The sequence below is a fragment of the Homo sapiens genome, chromosome 6 (assembly GCF_000001405.40).
Source record: "Homo sapiens chromosome 6, GRCh38.p14 Primary Assembly".
Taxonomy (NCBI): domain Eukaryota; kingdom Metazoa; phylum Chordata; class Mammalia; order Primates; family Hominidae; genus Homo; species Homo sapiens.
Genome location: NC_000006.12, coordinates 109,004,599 through 109,019,095, shown reverse-complemented (window position 1 = coordinate 109,019,095; position 14,497 = coordinate 109,004,599). Strand labels below are relative to the sequence as shown.

Here is a 14,497-nt window from a genome sequence, read left to right as displayed (position 1 = left end):
TATCAATGAATTATTTAAGTTCAAATAAGAAAATTCATTATCAAATCAATTAGTGAAAACAGTGGGGCTATTTTATATTTTATATTTTCAGAAAATTTGAAATTAAGGGGTTATGAATGATGGTTGCAGTATTTCTATATTTTCTTATATGCATAATATCAAGAAAATCTGATTCACACAGGTAAGTGCTTTTGTGGGTTTTTGAAAATATCTTTATACTTTCATTTTTTATCGTGCTCTACATGTTCAGAGAAACTTCTCTAGTAATGAACTATAGAAGTCATCCCTGAAATTATAGACTTAGATAAATGGTTTTGAGTGAAAACTTTTTAAATAGTTCACCTTGCATTCTCAAGATACGCTGCAGTTAAACTGATCCAGAAGCTTGAACAAAAAAGTGAAAAAAATGATTTCAAACAACTACTTGCATTCTTTATTATAAACATAAAAGTTAAAACAATAAGCACCAAAATGTACAATATCCACTAAAAACTAAGGAATCATGATGGGATGTGCAATCTGTTCCTTCAACATTACAAAATTGACAGTTACACCCTTTCAGGAGCACGTACCAAGCAAATGTGCCTGAGCCTCTCCTGGCATCTTTAAAGCAAAATATCCACTTGCTGTAGCAGTTCACTCACTATTATAGTTTTACTTCAGCTGATGTAGACACGCATTAATTTTTTAAAAGACTAGAACACATAAACTATACCCCTCCTAATCACTGACACATTTATACATTTACAAGAATGTTCAAATGTGCTCACACAGATGGTGGGAGAGACATTATTTAATAACTGAATTATTACTGGTAACAAATTGTTGTTTTGGCAGTCTCCATTGAATTTAATGTTGATATACATTTGTAGGTTACTTTGAAAAACAAAGTTCAAATCTAATATTTTATAATATCTCTAAAGTATGTGTAAGGAATGGATTTTAAGAAATATAATTTGAAAACCACTGATAATATACAAGGAAGTCCAGAGCAGGAAGGGGCCAGGTTCTAGTTAGCTGAAAGCATAGAACTCTGGATAAAATCAGGAATTATATTTTTGCTATTTCTTCTTCTTATTATTGTTCTATAGAAAGAGACAGGGTTCTCGCCATGTTGCCCAGGCTAGTCTCAAACTCCTGGCCTCAAATGATCTTCCCACCTCAGCCTCCCAAAGTGCTGAGATTACAGGCATTGAGCCACTGTGCCTCGCCAGGAATTATATTAAAAGATTAGAACTTTAGAGCTGAAATAAAGTTTGAGAGATCATTAAGTTCAATTGCCCTTCATTTCAAATTTAAAGGGATTACAACTAGAGAGGTTTTCAGGCTTTTTATTTTTTCTTTGCAAAGGTAGTAAACTAGATGACCCTCTATTTAATGCTTCCTAACAGAATCCCAAGCTATCTGCTAATCTGTATGATTTATGTAAGTGGTTAAGTCTAACTTTAAATCCCAATCTCGAATTAAGAGATTTCTGCTTGTTCATATGATTTAAGAAATGCATATATTTGGGCCGGGCGCGGTGGCTCACACCTGCAATCCCAGCACTTTGGGAGGCCAAGGCAGGCGGATCACGAGGTGAGGAGATCGAGACCATCCTGGCTAACATGGTGAAACCCCGTCTCTACTAAAAATACAAAAAATTAGCTGGGTGTGGTGGTGGGTGCCTGTAGTCCCAGCTGCTTGGGAGGCTGAGGCAGGAGAATGGTGTGAACCCGGGCAGTGGAGCTTGCAGTGAGCCAAGATTGCACCACTGCGCTCCAGCCTGGGCGACAGAGTGAGACTCTGTCTAAAAGAAATGCATAAATTTGACATTTAGTAAATATTTACAAATAATGAATGATTGAATGCTAAATGGTTACATAGTATCAAGTTTTCTGTTAATTGGTAAAATAATAGCATTATTTTAAGGCTCAATGCCAAATAGAGCCTTAAAGAGAAAAAGCTGTGGGAACTACAACAGTTCATGTTTGTCTATTGAATTATAGACGAAATTCACCTTCACAATATAACTTTCATTTAGCCTGTCCTGGGTCTGGTCTATAACTGAAAGCATATAAAATATAAAATATATAAAATAATAGCATTATTTTACCAATGTAAACTTATACGAACATATATTTTAAAAATTAGACTCATAACAAATTAAGAGTGTTACCCTCTCCAATTTATATCATCTGAATAAAATACTATTTTAGTATTTCTGAGTTATTTGCCAGAAAATAAAAATGCAAAAATTAAGAAAATCATATTCTCTATTACTACAAGCAAAATGATCTTGAATTCCATTCAAATCTGAATTCCTGTAAAAAGCATACATTTTTAAGTGGTATTATATCTTTTATTGTTTGAGAGTATGTTTTGGCAAAACAGAAAGCTAGAATGGATAAGCAAATATAAACATTTTTATTTGATGAACTATAGTCCCCTAAATGTATCTATACCCTTTGGGTAAAGGGGAAAATGGCCCACAGAGTGAGAATTTGGGAGGGCAGAAGAACAGACAGGAAAGTTCAGTGAACAGCATTTTATTTTTAAAATACATAATAACCTACAAGTAGTCTCCAGATTTGGCCTTGTACTTGTGCTCAGGTTAAGAATCTACAACTTAATACCCTCTTGGAAAGCAAGAGACCTCTGAAGAAGGCAGAAAAAGAAGGTGGTTTAAAGGATTATAGGACCTACAACTAAAGATTATCAAAAAGGAACTGAGTAGGGGTTCTTTGAACTGTGCAAGAAAAGCACATATTGCAGAATTCTATTCACCACTTGGTAGTAATAATCATAGGGTGGGGAGGCATGGATAGGGAAGGCAGGATAGCTGTTATAAACAAAAACAACTGGATTTTAAAACTTTAGAATATTGTCATTGGTTTGTTTCTTTGAATAAAAATTACCGTTAGTATAAACAAAGCATTTAAAATTCTGTCATGATTAAGCTAATGACTCATTAATATGCATTTAGCCCAAACATTTTAACCACGGGTAAAAATCCTATGGTTAAATGGGATTAGTTCAGTTCCATTAAGTCTGTGGGTTCAGGATAAGTTAAAGATATTAGGTTTGGTTTTAATCTATTTTGAATGGATAATTTTTAATATTATGCCTGGCTAATTCCTCGTATTTAAAATTATAGGTTACATACTAAACCAGTTCTTGGCCTGTGCACAAATAGAAGCACTATGAGAATTTCATGTGTTCACATTGTTTAGGTACAAATGAAATCTAGCCCCTCAAAAAACTGTTAGAAAAATTATACAACACAGAGTATATTCAGTCTGAGAAATATTTTCTACTTGCATATATTTAGTATCTTTTGTTGCCTTTTTTGAGTTTGTATATTTCCTTCTCCTTCTTTAAAACCTTCAGTAGCGCCTAGCAACATATGGCTTAAAGTCCTAACCGTCCATTTCCCCCTCACATTCACCTTTTTCATAGACCTCATAGTATTCCAAATTAAACCCATTCCTTCTTATTTAACTCAGTGATGATGCTGAAAAGTAGCCTCTAAACATTGTAATATGTCTGAATGAATTCTCCCACTTAATTTTTATATCTCAACAGACACTTTCTTTTCTATCACTTCACCTTGGATAGACCTAAGGATTATTTAAAGCCAAACTTGGTTACAAAGTGTTTCTGAATCTTGTCAAACAATGGTATCTTGTCAGACACAGGCAGTGTCTGACTTGTAAGTACATGCCTGACTTAACAAGTGATCCATACATGCTCTTGTCAGACCCTGTATAGCTGCTAGCCTGGTAGTGCAGGAGAGCAGTCACAGAAATATCAAAGAAAAAATCAAAGGAGCTTGGGTATCTATGAGTTCCAAGGAGAAGTGGAGAGATTCTGAAAGACAGATTGCTTAGCAGAGCTGAACCCAGTAGAAGCTAATTCCCTCACAGAGTCAGCCTGCCTGCCTATAAACAGGCAGGTTTTGTGGCCCCTAAGCCTCAAAAATGTTTACCTGAATAGTGAACTTGAAATTCATTATTAGGCTTTCAGTTAAGCTTAAACAATTTTTTAATGGAAACATCTCTTCAGAGTTCATTCGATACATAATTTTTGAGGGTCTCCTGTGTGCAGGGCACTAGGACATTGGAAATATAGCAGTAAACCAAAAATACAGACATTCTGATTTTATGAAGCTTATATCCTATTGAGACAAACTAAATAAATAAATAGGAGGTATCAGTAACTTACAAAATTAGTGTGATTTGTTTGAGAAGCCAGCTTTCTTCCTAAAACGTACCACTTTTTGAGAAACGGGGGTCATGTGAGGAACATGTAGGAGGTTGGGTAGATTCAGATGAGATATGTAGTGAACAGGCTTTGGGTGGCATGAGGCCACCAAAGGCCCAGAAAGAGACACTGAGAGGAGTGACAGAAATATGGAGGAGAGAAGCTCTCAAAGCCCAAGATCACCCATTCCATGATTTCTTAAAAACAAAACAAAACAAAACAAACAAACAAAAAAACTCACCCTGAGTAAAAGCAAGGGAGATAAATTTTTCTGTCTTTCTACCCTCTTTTCTTGCCTCCAGAATCAAGAACTTAGGTGAATACACAGTTATCAAAATTGTAAATATATATTCGGTAAATGCAGCAACCTCATATAGTGACTGCTGCTTTGGATTCTGACAGACCTGAGTTCTAATTCCAGGCTGAATTTTACAAGTTTTATAACTTTGGTCAAGTTGCCCATACTTTTAGTTTCTATGTCACAAATTTGTAAAATAAAAATAATTACATCTGCTTTATACATGTAAAGTGTTGTGTCTGATACACAGGAGTTAACAAATTACTGGTCTTATTATTATCAGCCTAGAAAACCTGACCGTTATTTAACACATTGATTTTGGGGTAAAAGCAACTTTTAAATTTAAAACCACTGACACTTCTTGGAATACTACTTATTTACAAATATTGGTGATGCCTCATATTTCTAAACAGCTATGTAGAAAGTTAAAACACTACATTTCTAAAAGAGGAAACTCTAAATGAGAGGAAAATACCAAAGACTTGTCAACATTCTTGCTCCTTTAAAGTGATATAATTCTAAAAATTGAAGAACTGAAAAAAAAAAAAAGTATAGAGCAAATAAGAGGATCAGTTTAAAGTTCAGTGCTAAAAGGATCTTAATGTACCCAAAACATGATGTTGAAAAGGGAAAAAGTGCTTAGCAGACAAGCTATGTAGATAAAAACAGGAAGATATGAGCTGGAGGAGAAAAATCTAGACAAAATTAGTAAGCAGAAGTAGTCTTATAAACCAGCATTTGTTCTAAATGAAACGTTTTAAATGACAATAGGGGATTTTTCAAGAATGCTTAAACCACATAAATGTAACAAATCCCACTCCCACTCTTAAAGGAGTTCTTTGGTTTAATGGCTAAAACCATTACTGTATGTTTTCTAACCAATTACTGCATTAAGTATAATTCTGATTCCAATGAGGAGATGTGCAAATCTATAGTACAGGGTTTAACATGTGGTCCATAAAAGTATGATTATGCCTTTTAACCTAATTACTGCTTTTTCTACTAAAATATATCTATTCCTTGTCATGAATTGATTATACTTTTTAAAGACCTAATGCGCTCAGGGAAGCCACTTGGTCAGGAGAGCAGATAATCTGAGATTTATCTCCTAAATTTCAAAAACAAGAGTTTGAGGCATGATTGCCTCCCTCAAGGAACTTAACTACCATACTGGAGAGACAGAATCCACTGTCATCTTCTACACTTCTCTCCCTTCCCATTGTTCCGAAGACTGCCCTCTTGCCTTGCCAAGATTGCCTCAGCAGCCTAACTCATCTCCTTGCCCCTAGTTTTGCCCCTTGCAATATATTTTTCCAAACCTTAGCTGACATGCAAATCTGATGTCACTCTACAGTTTACAACTTTCAGTAACTCCACAGTACCCTTAAGAATGAAATCCGTATTCTTTAATGAAGCTTAACACTCCCTCATTACTGCTTATCTTTTTTTTTTTTTCCCTGTTGCCAGGCTAGAGTGCAATGGTGCGATCTTGGCTCATCGCAACCTCTGCCTCCCGGGTTCAAGCAATTCTCCTGCCCCAGCCTCCAGAGTAGCTGGGACTACAGGCGCACACCACCACGCCCAGCTAATTTTTTTGTATTTTCAGTAGAGACGGGGTTTCACCATGTTGGCCAGGATGGTTTCGAGCTCCTGACCTTGTGATCCGCCCTGCCTCGGCCTCCCAAAGTGCTGGAATTACAGGCGTAAGCCACCACGCCCGGCCTACTGCTTATCTTTTACCTAAACTCCTTCCGTTACTCTCCTTACCCTCTTTTCCAGACCCATTGAGCTTCCTGTATTCTGCTTCCCTAATGGATCACTCTTTCCTTTTTCTGGGCCTCTGCATATGCTAGATCTTTTACTTAGAACTCTGTGTCTATTCTCCCAAACTCTCCCCCAAATTTTCTTTCCAAGGCCTCTCTACTAATACTCTAAGCTGTAGCTCAGGTGTCTTTTTCCTTCAGGAAGCCTATCTTGAACCACCATTCCAAGTGCAGAGTCCCCTAATATTTCATAGTTCTCTGTTAAAATCAAGTCATTTGACACCACTCTGCTTTTACATAGATTATCAGCTTGCTCTTCAGAAAAATAAGGCTGAGTGCATTACTGCTAAGGACAGATGTAGAGGCAATGAACCTCACTTTGATACAGTTGAGTAAGTTGACCAAAATCTTTTTAAAAGAAAGGAAATATTTCAGAATTACTATTACTTCTTGGATTAAATGTCAGGATTCTTCCTGAGCCAAGTTCGTACCACTGCACTCCAGCCTGGGCGACAGAGCGAGACTCCGTCTCAAAAAAAAAAAAAAAAGAAATATCAAAATTAAATGTTTAAATAGCAGACTTTGTAAGGTAGCTCTGGCCTGTACTGACAACCTGTGGTAAATATCAAAAACACAGCCCTTTGTAATCACTGTTCTGTGTTCAGGATGTTCATCTTTTCAGCAGATGTTTATCGCATGCCTGTATGTGCTCAGCCCTAGAGGTTGAGAGGAGCAGCACCTTCAGAACATCAGGCCTACCTTCGAAATCCTTGGAAAATACTTTTTATTGAATTGTTTGAAACAAAACATTTCAAAAGTTAAATCTGCACAATGATAGATGCAGGTTAATTAATACATTTATTGGGCTGGGTGTGGTGGCTCACACCTGTAATCCCAGCACTTTGGGAGGCAAAGGCGGGAAAATTGCTTGAGTCCAGGAATTTGAGACCAGCCTAGACAACATAATGAGACCCTATCTCTACAAAAAATTTAAAAAGTAGCCGGGTGTGGTGGCCTCTGCCTGTAGTGCCAGCTACTCAGGAGGCTGAGGTGGGAGGATCACTTGAGCCCTGGAGGTCAAGGCTGCAGTGAACTGTGATAATGCCACTGCACTCATCCTGGCTGACAGAGCGAGACTCTGTCTCAAAAAAAAAAAAAAAGAAAAAAAATTTTAAAAATACATTTGTTGGAACTCTTGGTTACTGTAAATTTATTTGGAGGCAACCTTTTTATGTTGGAGAATAGAGTGACTAATTCACTCTAGTGCTCTATAGCAGAGAACAAGAAATTAGTACTCTTTGAGGAATTTAGGTCAGTCTTTATAGAGACCATAAAGGAATCTTGACATTTAATGGCTTGAAGGTTCTCCATAAACCACTAAATTAGAATATTAAATTAAAATTATTTTTCTTTTCACATAAGGCAGCATTAAATAATAATTTGAAACTATCTGGGGGAAAAAGGAATCCTAATTGGAGCTTCCTATACAATTTCAGTATATCTGAAATATTTCTTCAATAAATATTTATCAAGCACTAAGTATCAGCCTACTATATGCATGCAGTTAGCAGTTTTCACTTGCATTTACTTATTTTAAGCCACTTTTGATTTAACTGAATGCATGCTTTTCCCTTGCCTCTCATTAGAAAATGGAAAGATAAGCATTCTTCATTTTACAAATGTCATAACTAAGATTATGCCCTACTAGACAACTAAAACTGTGATTCCTTCAGAAATAAAATCATACCTCAACTCTTCTAGAACCAGAGTCATCATTTTTCACATACTTCTACCTAACTAGCTTTTGCAGCTCACAATCCCATACATCAAGTGCATTTATGTGTCCAACTCATTCATTTACAACCAGTTTATCTTGCAGGGTATGTCATATTGCTGCAAATTGCATGATGTACTGGGTTTGTTTTGTTTTTGTATTTGCTTACGGCTGAGTGGGCATTTGATTGTACTGTTTGTTTTTGTGGCTGTGCTCAGTGGATGAGAGCTTGGAAGCCTCTGTAGCCTTTTCTTCTATATCGACATTAACTCAATATTGCTTCTTTTGACCAGTAAAAAATATTTTGGGTGCATTAGCTATTTTTTAAAAGCAGTATAGAGAACATATATCATTTATCTTATTTATTAGGAGATAAATAAAAAGTAACCATTTTGACATGCCACTTTAAACATGATAGTTGAAGAGCTAAAAGAGTAACTTAGTTTTCACTGAGACACGGTAGCGTCACTTCTAAGACTGAAACTTATTTTCATTTATGAGTCCTGTTCTGTGGCCATAACTACTGCTATAAATTCCACTTGTTTCCTTGTCAGAATGTTCCAACTTTTTTTGTTTTTTAACCTGAGCACTTAAGCTTTGAAAACAGCATAAACATGCAAAAAGAGATCTAATTTAGGAATTTGTTTCTTTTAAAGAGAGAGAATAGAGTTATGTAAAGAAATAGTACTGACACAGGACTGGAGGGATCTGGGTTCTGGGCCCAACAATGTCAGTTGTTTTTCTCCTTTGTAACCTGTATTTTCCCAAGTTCCTCATCCGATTTCAGAGATTGAAATTCTGTCTTTATAACCCAGGGAGGGCGCTTATGAAGGAATATTAGAAATTGTAAAGCCTTCGAATATACTTGAGAGGAAAAAAGACGATTCAGAGATAGGCTACCAAGGTTTATTATCTGTGTAGGGGAGTGATATTTATAGCTTTTACGTAGCTTAGCAAAATGAATTTTGCATTGATTATAGGCCAAAGTCCTGCATTCTGCTGCCGATTCAGCGTCGTTTGGGCATTATGGGAAAGGAAGAAGGGAAATTTCAATAGTTTATCGAATTTAGAGAACTTCATTACTCCTGGTGCTGTCAGAATCAGTCTCGAGGTTGGCTGCTGTTTGGTTCTAGGTAAATGGCCGAGCAGGGGTGTAGGGGGCAGATTCCCCTGTCCCTGAAGCCCGAAGACTCGTGCTGCACCTTCCTGACAGTGCACGCTCACCTCGCGGCCCTCCAGAGCCCATTCCGTACCTGAGAATTAGCTGTTCGTGGGGAACCTGGGCCCCCAAGGTGATTTTTCACCTCGCCGCGTCAGACCGCCAGTTCCCAGCCTCCGCGCCGGAGGGGCGGTGCTTTGCGGGGACGCGAGCCCGCATTGGCTTGCGTGGCCGCCAGGGCGGTGAAATGACGGGCGCGGGGCGGGGCCGCGCGGCTTGTTTGTCGGCGCCGCCCCGCCCCCCCGCCGTCCGTGCTGACTGAGGCGCTGCAGCCAGGAGCCGCGGCCGGCTGCCCAGCGCTCGCCGCCTCCGCGCGTCCGCAGCCGTCCCCGCGCCGACATGCGCTTGGCCGCCGCCGCGAACGAGGCGTACACGGCCCCTTTGGCGGTCTCGGGGCTGCTGGGCTGCAAGCAGTGCGGCGGGGGCCGCGACCAGGACGAGGTACCTGGGCGAGGGGCTGAGCGGGCCGCTGGGTACCTGGGCGGGTGGGCACCCGGCCGAGCTGCCCTGTGCAACACGGAGGTCACGTTGCCTCCTCACAGTCGCTCCCGGTCAGCATCCGAAAACGCTCCCCAGATAGGGCGGGCTCCCGGGGAGCAGCGTCCCGGCCCTCCTGCGCCCCTCGGGGGAAGGGGTTGCCTGCGGTGGGTGGGAGACCTGCGCACCGTGAGTCGTCCCTGGGCAGAAAATGCTAAGCTGGGAGAGACTGCGGCCGCGGTCATGTAAATGAAAGTCTCCAATACGTAAATAACATTGTCGTCTGGACAAGTCTCCACAAGTCAGAAATCCAGCAGACCTCGAGTCTTGAGGGTGAAACAGCCTGTGGATATGCCCCCTCGATTGTCTTGTCTTGTGAAAACAGATTATTTAGCCACCTTCATCCCCTTTGCCTCCTACTTAAAAGAGAGAGAAAGAAAAAAAACACATTTGACTCAGGGAAGAGATGATGTTGCCTGGAATAAGTGTGTCCTGCAAGCTCTATGACGTTATGCACAGCGTTTACTCTTGCGTATTAAGCCATCCCTTTTCTGAATTGTCCTTTAGAAAGAGGTACTTAATTGTAACATTTTGTGTTTTTTTCTAAGTGGTTGCAAATAGGAAACCATTTGAAAGTTACTAATGTAACCTTAGGTAAAACTCGAACCTTAAATTTGGATTGAAATCAGGTGCTGTCAGAGTGTTGCCTTAGTTCAAGAAATCTAAATGTGAATTATTTTTTCTGCAGCTTTACTCACTAAAATGACGTGGTTTCGTGATTTCTTTAATGGAGTCTATTATCAGTATACTATGTATATTCATAGAAACTTAAATGAAGACACTTTGTCATGAAGGTTGTAAAGCACCAAATATTTTTTTGAGATTTTAACATTTATGGACATATTAGATGTTCCTTGTTTACAGATAATAAAACAATCTTTAAAAATCTCTTACAGTATCGCTTTGGAAACTTTACCAAAAAGTGAAAACAGTATGAAAGTATTGAATTAACATTTACAGTTTCTGTTTGCGGGTCATAATAGATCTTTTCTCTTTTTGAGTAGAAGTGAGCCCCAATCATCATGCTTGAATAGATCTGTTATTTCTGCTGATGTTTGTGTGCAGAGTCCTGGTTCTTGCTCAGATCTAGAATTTCTAAAGATAGCTTTGTAAACTAAAAGATAAAGAAATAGATTTTGGCTTGCATATTGTTACAGCGCTTATGGGATTGTGTTGAGGAAACCGGGAAGCTTTGTATAGTTGTATTTCATTTTTAATACATCCCAACATGTGAGAAGATAACTTAGGAAGGAATGCTTTATAGGAAAACTATTCACTTTACAAAAAGAATAACACAATTCTTTCAAATAGCTAGCTTCCATAATGCTTTTAAATTAAACACTTTCAAGAAACGGAACTCCTGAGCAAAGTATAGGGCACAAATATGGCCTAAGTATTACAAATGCAGTAACTTAAAGTCAGTAAGTTTTTTTTCTAAAATATAGTTCATAGAAGGCAAAAAAAAAAAAAAAAAAAAGTACCTGGACTTTCAGTATTTCTGAATTACCTATTAGTATTAATGACAATATTAACATAATTGTTAGTACATTTTGCTATAGTAGGCATATTTCTAACACTTCTAGATCTCTCCATTTCTATTTAAATTTTTTGAATGTCGAAAGGCCAGCACCCAGCTATAGGCAATCTCCCAGAGAAGGGCGAGTGGGATGGGAACTTTCACTTTTTATATAACATATCTTTACCTTGTTGAAATGTTTTTCAAAAAACACATGCTGCTTTTGAATTTAAAAAATAAAATTACTGTGAATGTTGTGATAATCACAACAGTAATAGTGTAGCGAGGAAAACAAAATGATTCAAATTATTTGTGTATTTTTACTTCTCAACTAATTTTGCAGGTGGGTAGATACTGTAAGCCAACAATGCTTTCATTTTGCACTTGTCATTCATTCATTATTTCACTTAAGGATATTGATACAGATGCATAAATGTATCTCACAAATTTGAAACATCTGACTGGAACAGTACTTTTCAGTACACAAACATTGATTCATACAGTGATACAATAAAAACATAGTCTTTCTGTGGTACTACTGTCAACATTCACTACGAATTTTCACTCTGAAAATTAGTGTTTTGCATTATACATTGAGGAAACATCAGAAGTAATATTGTGATGGTGGAAACTTGTTGTCTCTTTCAAAGATGGTTATTAGGTTGTTGAGGGGAAAAGATTGTTCTCATGTTAATCTTCCAGCCACACCTTCACAGAGAGCCTGTGAGGTTAGTGCTGTGATTAGTATCTACATCTGCTTTTCAACAAGGCCATTTGTTGGTGGCAGTTCTGTCTCCTAGAATCTGGATTGGCCAAAATTTGTTCAAAGTCTGTAGTTAAGTTTCTTACAGCTACAGATGAAGGAATAATTGAATTAACCTAAATAGGAAGCTATGAAATGTATTTAGTTTGGCTTATGATCACCCCATTGAACACCCGCAGTGCCTTTTTTGATCAGCATCTACTAGAAAAGAGTTGTAACCAATTTAACATGTGACCAAGAAGTGTTTCAAAAGTGAGTTTTCCAGAAAATGGAAACTTTTTATAAACCAAGACTACTACTGTATAATAACAGTGGTATCTGTAAGAATCTCCAAGGTATCAAGAAGTCTTAAAGAGGCTCAAAAGAATAATAATGAAAGATACCAACTCTAGAACCAGATGTCATTGATTCAGCCCCCGTCTCCACCACTCACTAGTACTGACTGAGCTAGAATACTTGGGTTCAAATCTCAGGGCTTTCCTTGGACACAGGGTGGGGAACATCACACACCGGGGCCTGTCGTGGGGTAGGGGGTGGGGGGAGGGATAGCATTAGGAGATATACCTAATGTAAATGACAAGTTAATGGGTGCAGCAAACCAACATGGCACATGCATACATATGTAACAAACCTGCACATTGTGCACATGTACCCTAGAACTTAAAGTATAATTTTAAAAATTAAAAAAATCTCAGGGCTTTCATCAGTTATGCTAAATGGAGATAATAATAGTACCTGCTTCATAGATTAAGGTAAGGATTAATCTAAGACTCTTGACTTTTTCATGAATATTGTAGAACACCAAATACTCTTTCTAAACTTTAGTATCATAGACTCATGTTCTTTGTTTACAGGTAGTATAATTTAAAACAGTGCTCAGCTCATACTTTGTGTTAGCTGCTGCTGCTGCTATTGCTATTTATTATCATGAGCCCTAGTTGCTTTTTCAGTGTTATTCAAGAAATAAGCCGAAAACTGAAAGGCAATTTGGTTCTCAGATATCATTGACTAGTGTTAGGGTGCCAGCCACAGTCTAGAAACCCCACTTTACCCTCTCTTCCTCTGCTACTTCTGAGAAATTAGACAGCCAAATCTGTTAGACCTTATACCTAAGACTAGAATCTATAACAAAAGACTCACGTTTGTATAATTTGTAAAATTCTATAGTTTATAATATAGATTATAATCCCACATAGTTGGGATTGATGGTATTATTATTTTGTCATCATCCCTATTTTACAGATTAGGACTCTTCAATTTGGAGGCTAAGGAAGAGGGGAGACAGTGTTATTAATATGCCCACTAAATTTGGCAATAGGGATGGACTTACAAAGACAAGAATTACATAGAACCCTTGCCATAAATATAGGAAATACTCTGTTTCTCAAGCATTCATAGCCACCTTCTTGGAATTGTAAACCTATTGTTTTATAATAATTTGGCATATAAACTATATATTTGGTAGAGAAATAAAACCAGAATAATATAATTTGTATACCTCTTTGTTTCTAAACCTATGTGCTGTCAATCTGGCCACATTTTTAAAAAGGTAACTACCTTTCATGATGCTAATGTATTTGTAAGATAAAGGCCTAGAAATTGAATCAGTGAGGTTTTTTTTCCTGCCTACTGATAACATAATATATACATATTCTGCACTTTGCTTCTCCTCCCCTTCCCCATTATTGTAATATAACTTGAAGAGCTTTTAAAGTCAACTCATGTAGAAGTGCTTCATTTTTTCTAAAGACTGCATGCTACTCTATTATATGGTCATGCTGAACTTTATTGAAACAGCCTTCTATTGAACACTGAGATTGTTTTCAACCTCGTACTATTAGAAACAATGTTGCAGTGGTTATCCTTTTACGTATGGCATTTCACAAATGTGAGCACATCTGTAGGTTAACACTTAGGATGGAATTGTTGATTCAAAGGCTATGGGACTTTTTAATTTTGATCACTATTACAAATTGCCCTTCCTAGCGGTTGTAGTAATATATTCTCTATACTCTTTTTTCTCATACTTCAAAACACTCTCATCAGCAATATATAAACAATTAATGACAGTTTCTCTACCCTTTCTCCAATACAGCCTGTGATCAAACTTTTTGATCTTAAGCAATCTTTTTGGAGGAAGACAGTATCTCAGCATAGTTAACTTGCAGTTGTTTTGAGTGTCAAGCATTTTTCAACCATTTGTATTTTCTTTTCCTTGAACTGTGTTGTTTGCTCATTTTTAAAATACGATTGTTGGTCAGGTGCGGTGGCTCACACCTGTAATCCTAGCATTTGGGAGGCCGAGGTGGGCGCATCACGAGGTCAGGAGATTGAGACCATCCTGGCTAACATGGTGAAACCCTGTCTCTACTAAAAATACAAAAA

General features: G+C 37.8%; 2 protein-coding genes across 4 annotated transcripts in view, besides 3 other annotated features; one reads left to right on the top strand and one right to left on the bottom strand.

Annotated features, from left to right (window-relative positions):
- The window catches only part of ARMC2 (armadillo repeat containing 2), a 204,619-nt gene that overhangs the window by 33,945 nt on the left and 156,177 nt on the right, over positions 1 to 14,497 (bottom strand). The gene's annotated exons all lie outside the window — the stretch shown is intronic.
- Positions 1 to 14,497, top strand: part of SESN1 (sestrin 1) — a 110,538-nt gene that overhangs the window by 75,751 nt on the left and 20,290 nt on the right. The window contains exon 1 of one of the 3 annotated variants that reach the window (NM_001199933.2): positions 9,544 to 9,737. The exons of 1 other annotated variant lie outside the window; for it this stretch is intronic. In NM_001199933.2, the coding sequence (NP_001186862.1) occupies positions 9,636 to 9,737 (102 nt within the window). In that variant the 5' untranslated portion in view covers positions 9,544 to 9,635. Of the gene's footprint in view, positions 1 to 9,543; positions 9,738 to 10,107; positions 10,347 to 14,497 lie in introns of those variants that run through there. One more of the 3 variants, NM_001199934.2, reaches the window with a different exon arrangement.
- Positions 9,166 to 9,285: an enhancer, noted in NCBI's record as "active region_24919". NCBI's record gives its function as "activates an Ori minimal core promoter by ATAC-STARR-seq in GM12878 lymphoblastoid cells {active_cell/tissue: GM12878}" and the evidence as "EXISTENCE:reporter gene assay evidence [ECO:0000049][PMID:35858748]".
- Positions 9,296 to 9,345: an enhancer, noted in NCBI's record as "active region_24918". NCBI's record gives its function as "activates an Ori minimal core promoter by ATAC-STARR-seq in GM12878 lymphoblastoid cells {active_cell/tissue: GM12878}" and the evidence as "EXISTENCE:reporter gene assay evidence [ECO:0000049][PMID:35858748]".
- Positions 9,416 to 9,795: a silencer, noted in NCBI's record as "silent region_17456". NCBI's record gives its function as "represses an Ori minimal core promoter by ATAC-STARR-seq in GM12878 lymphoblastoid cells {active_cell/tissue: GM12878}" and the evidence as "EXISTENCE:reporter gene assay evidence [ECO:0000049][PMID:35858748]".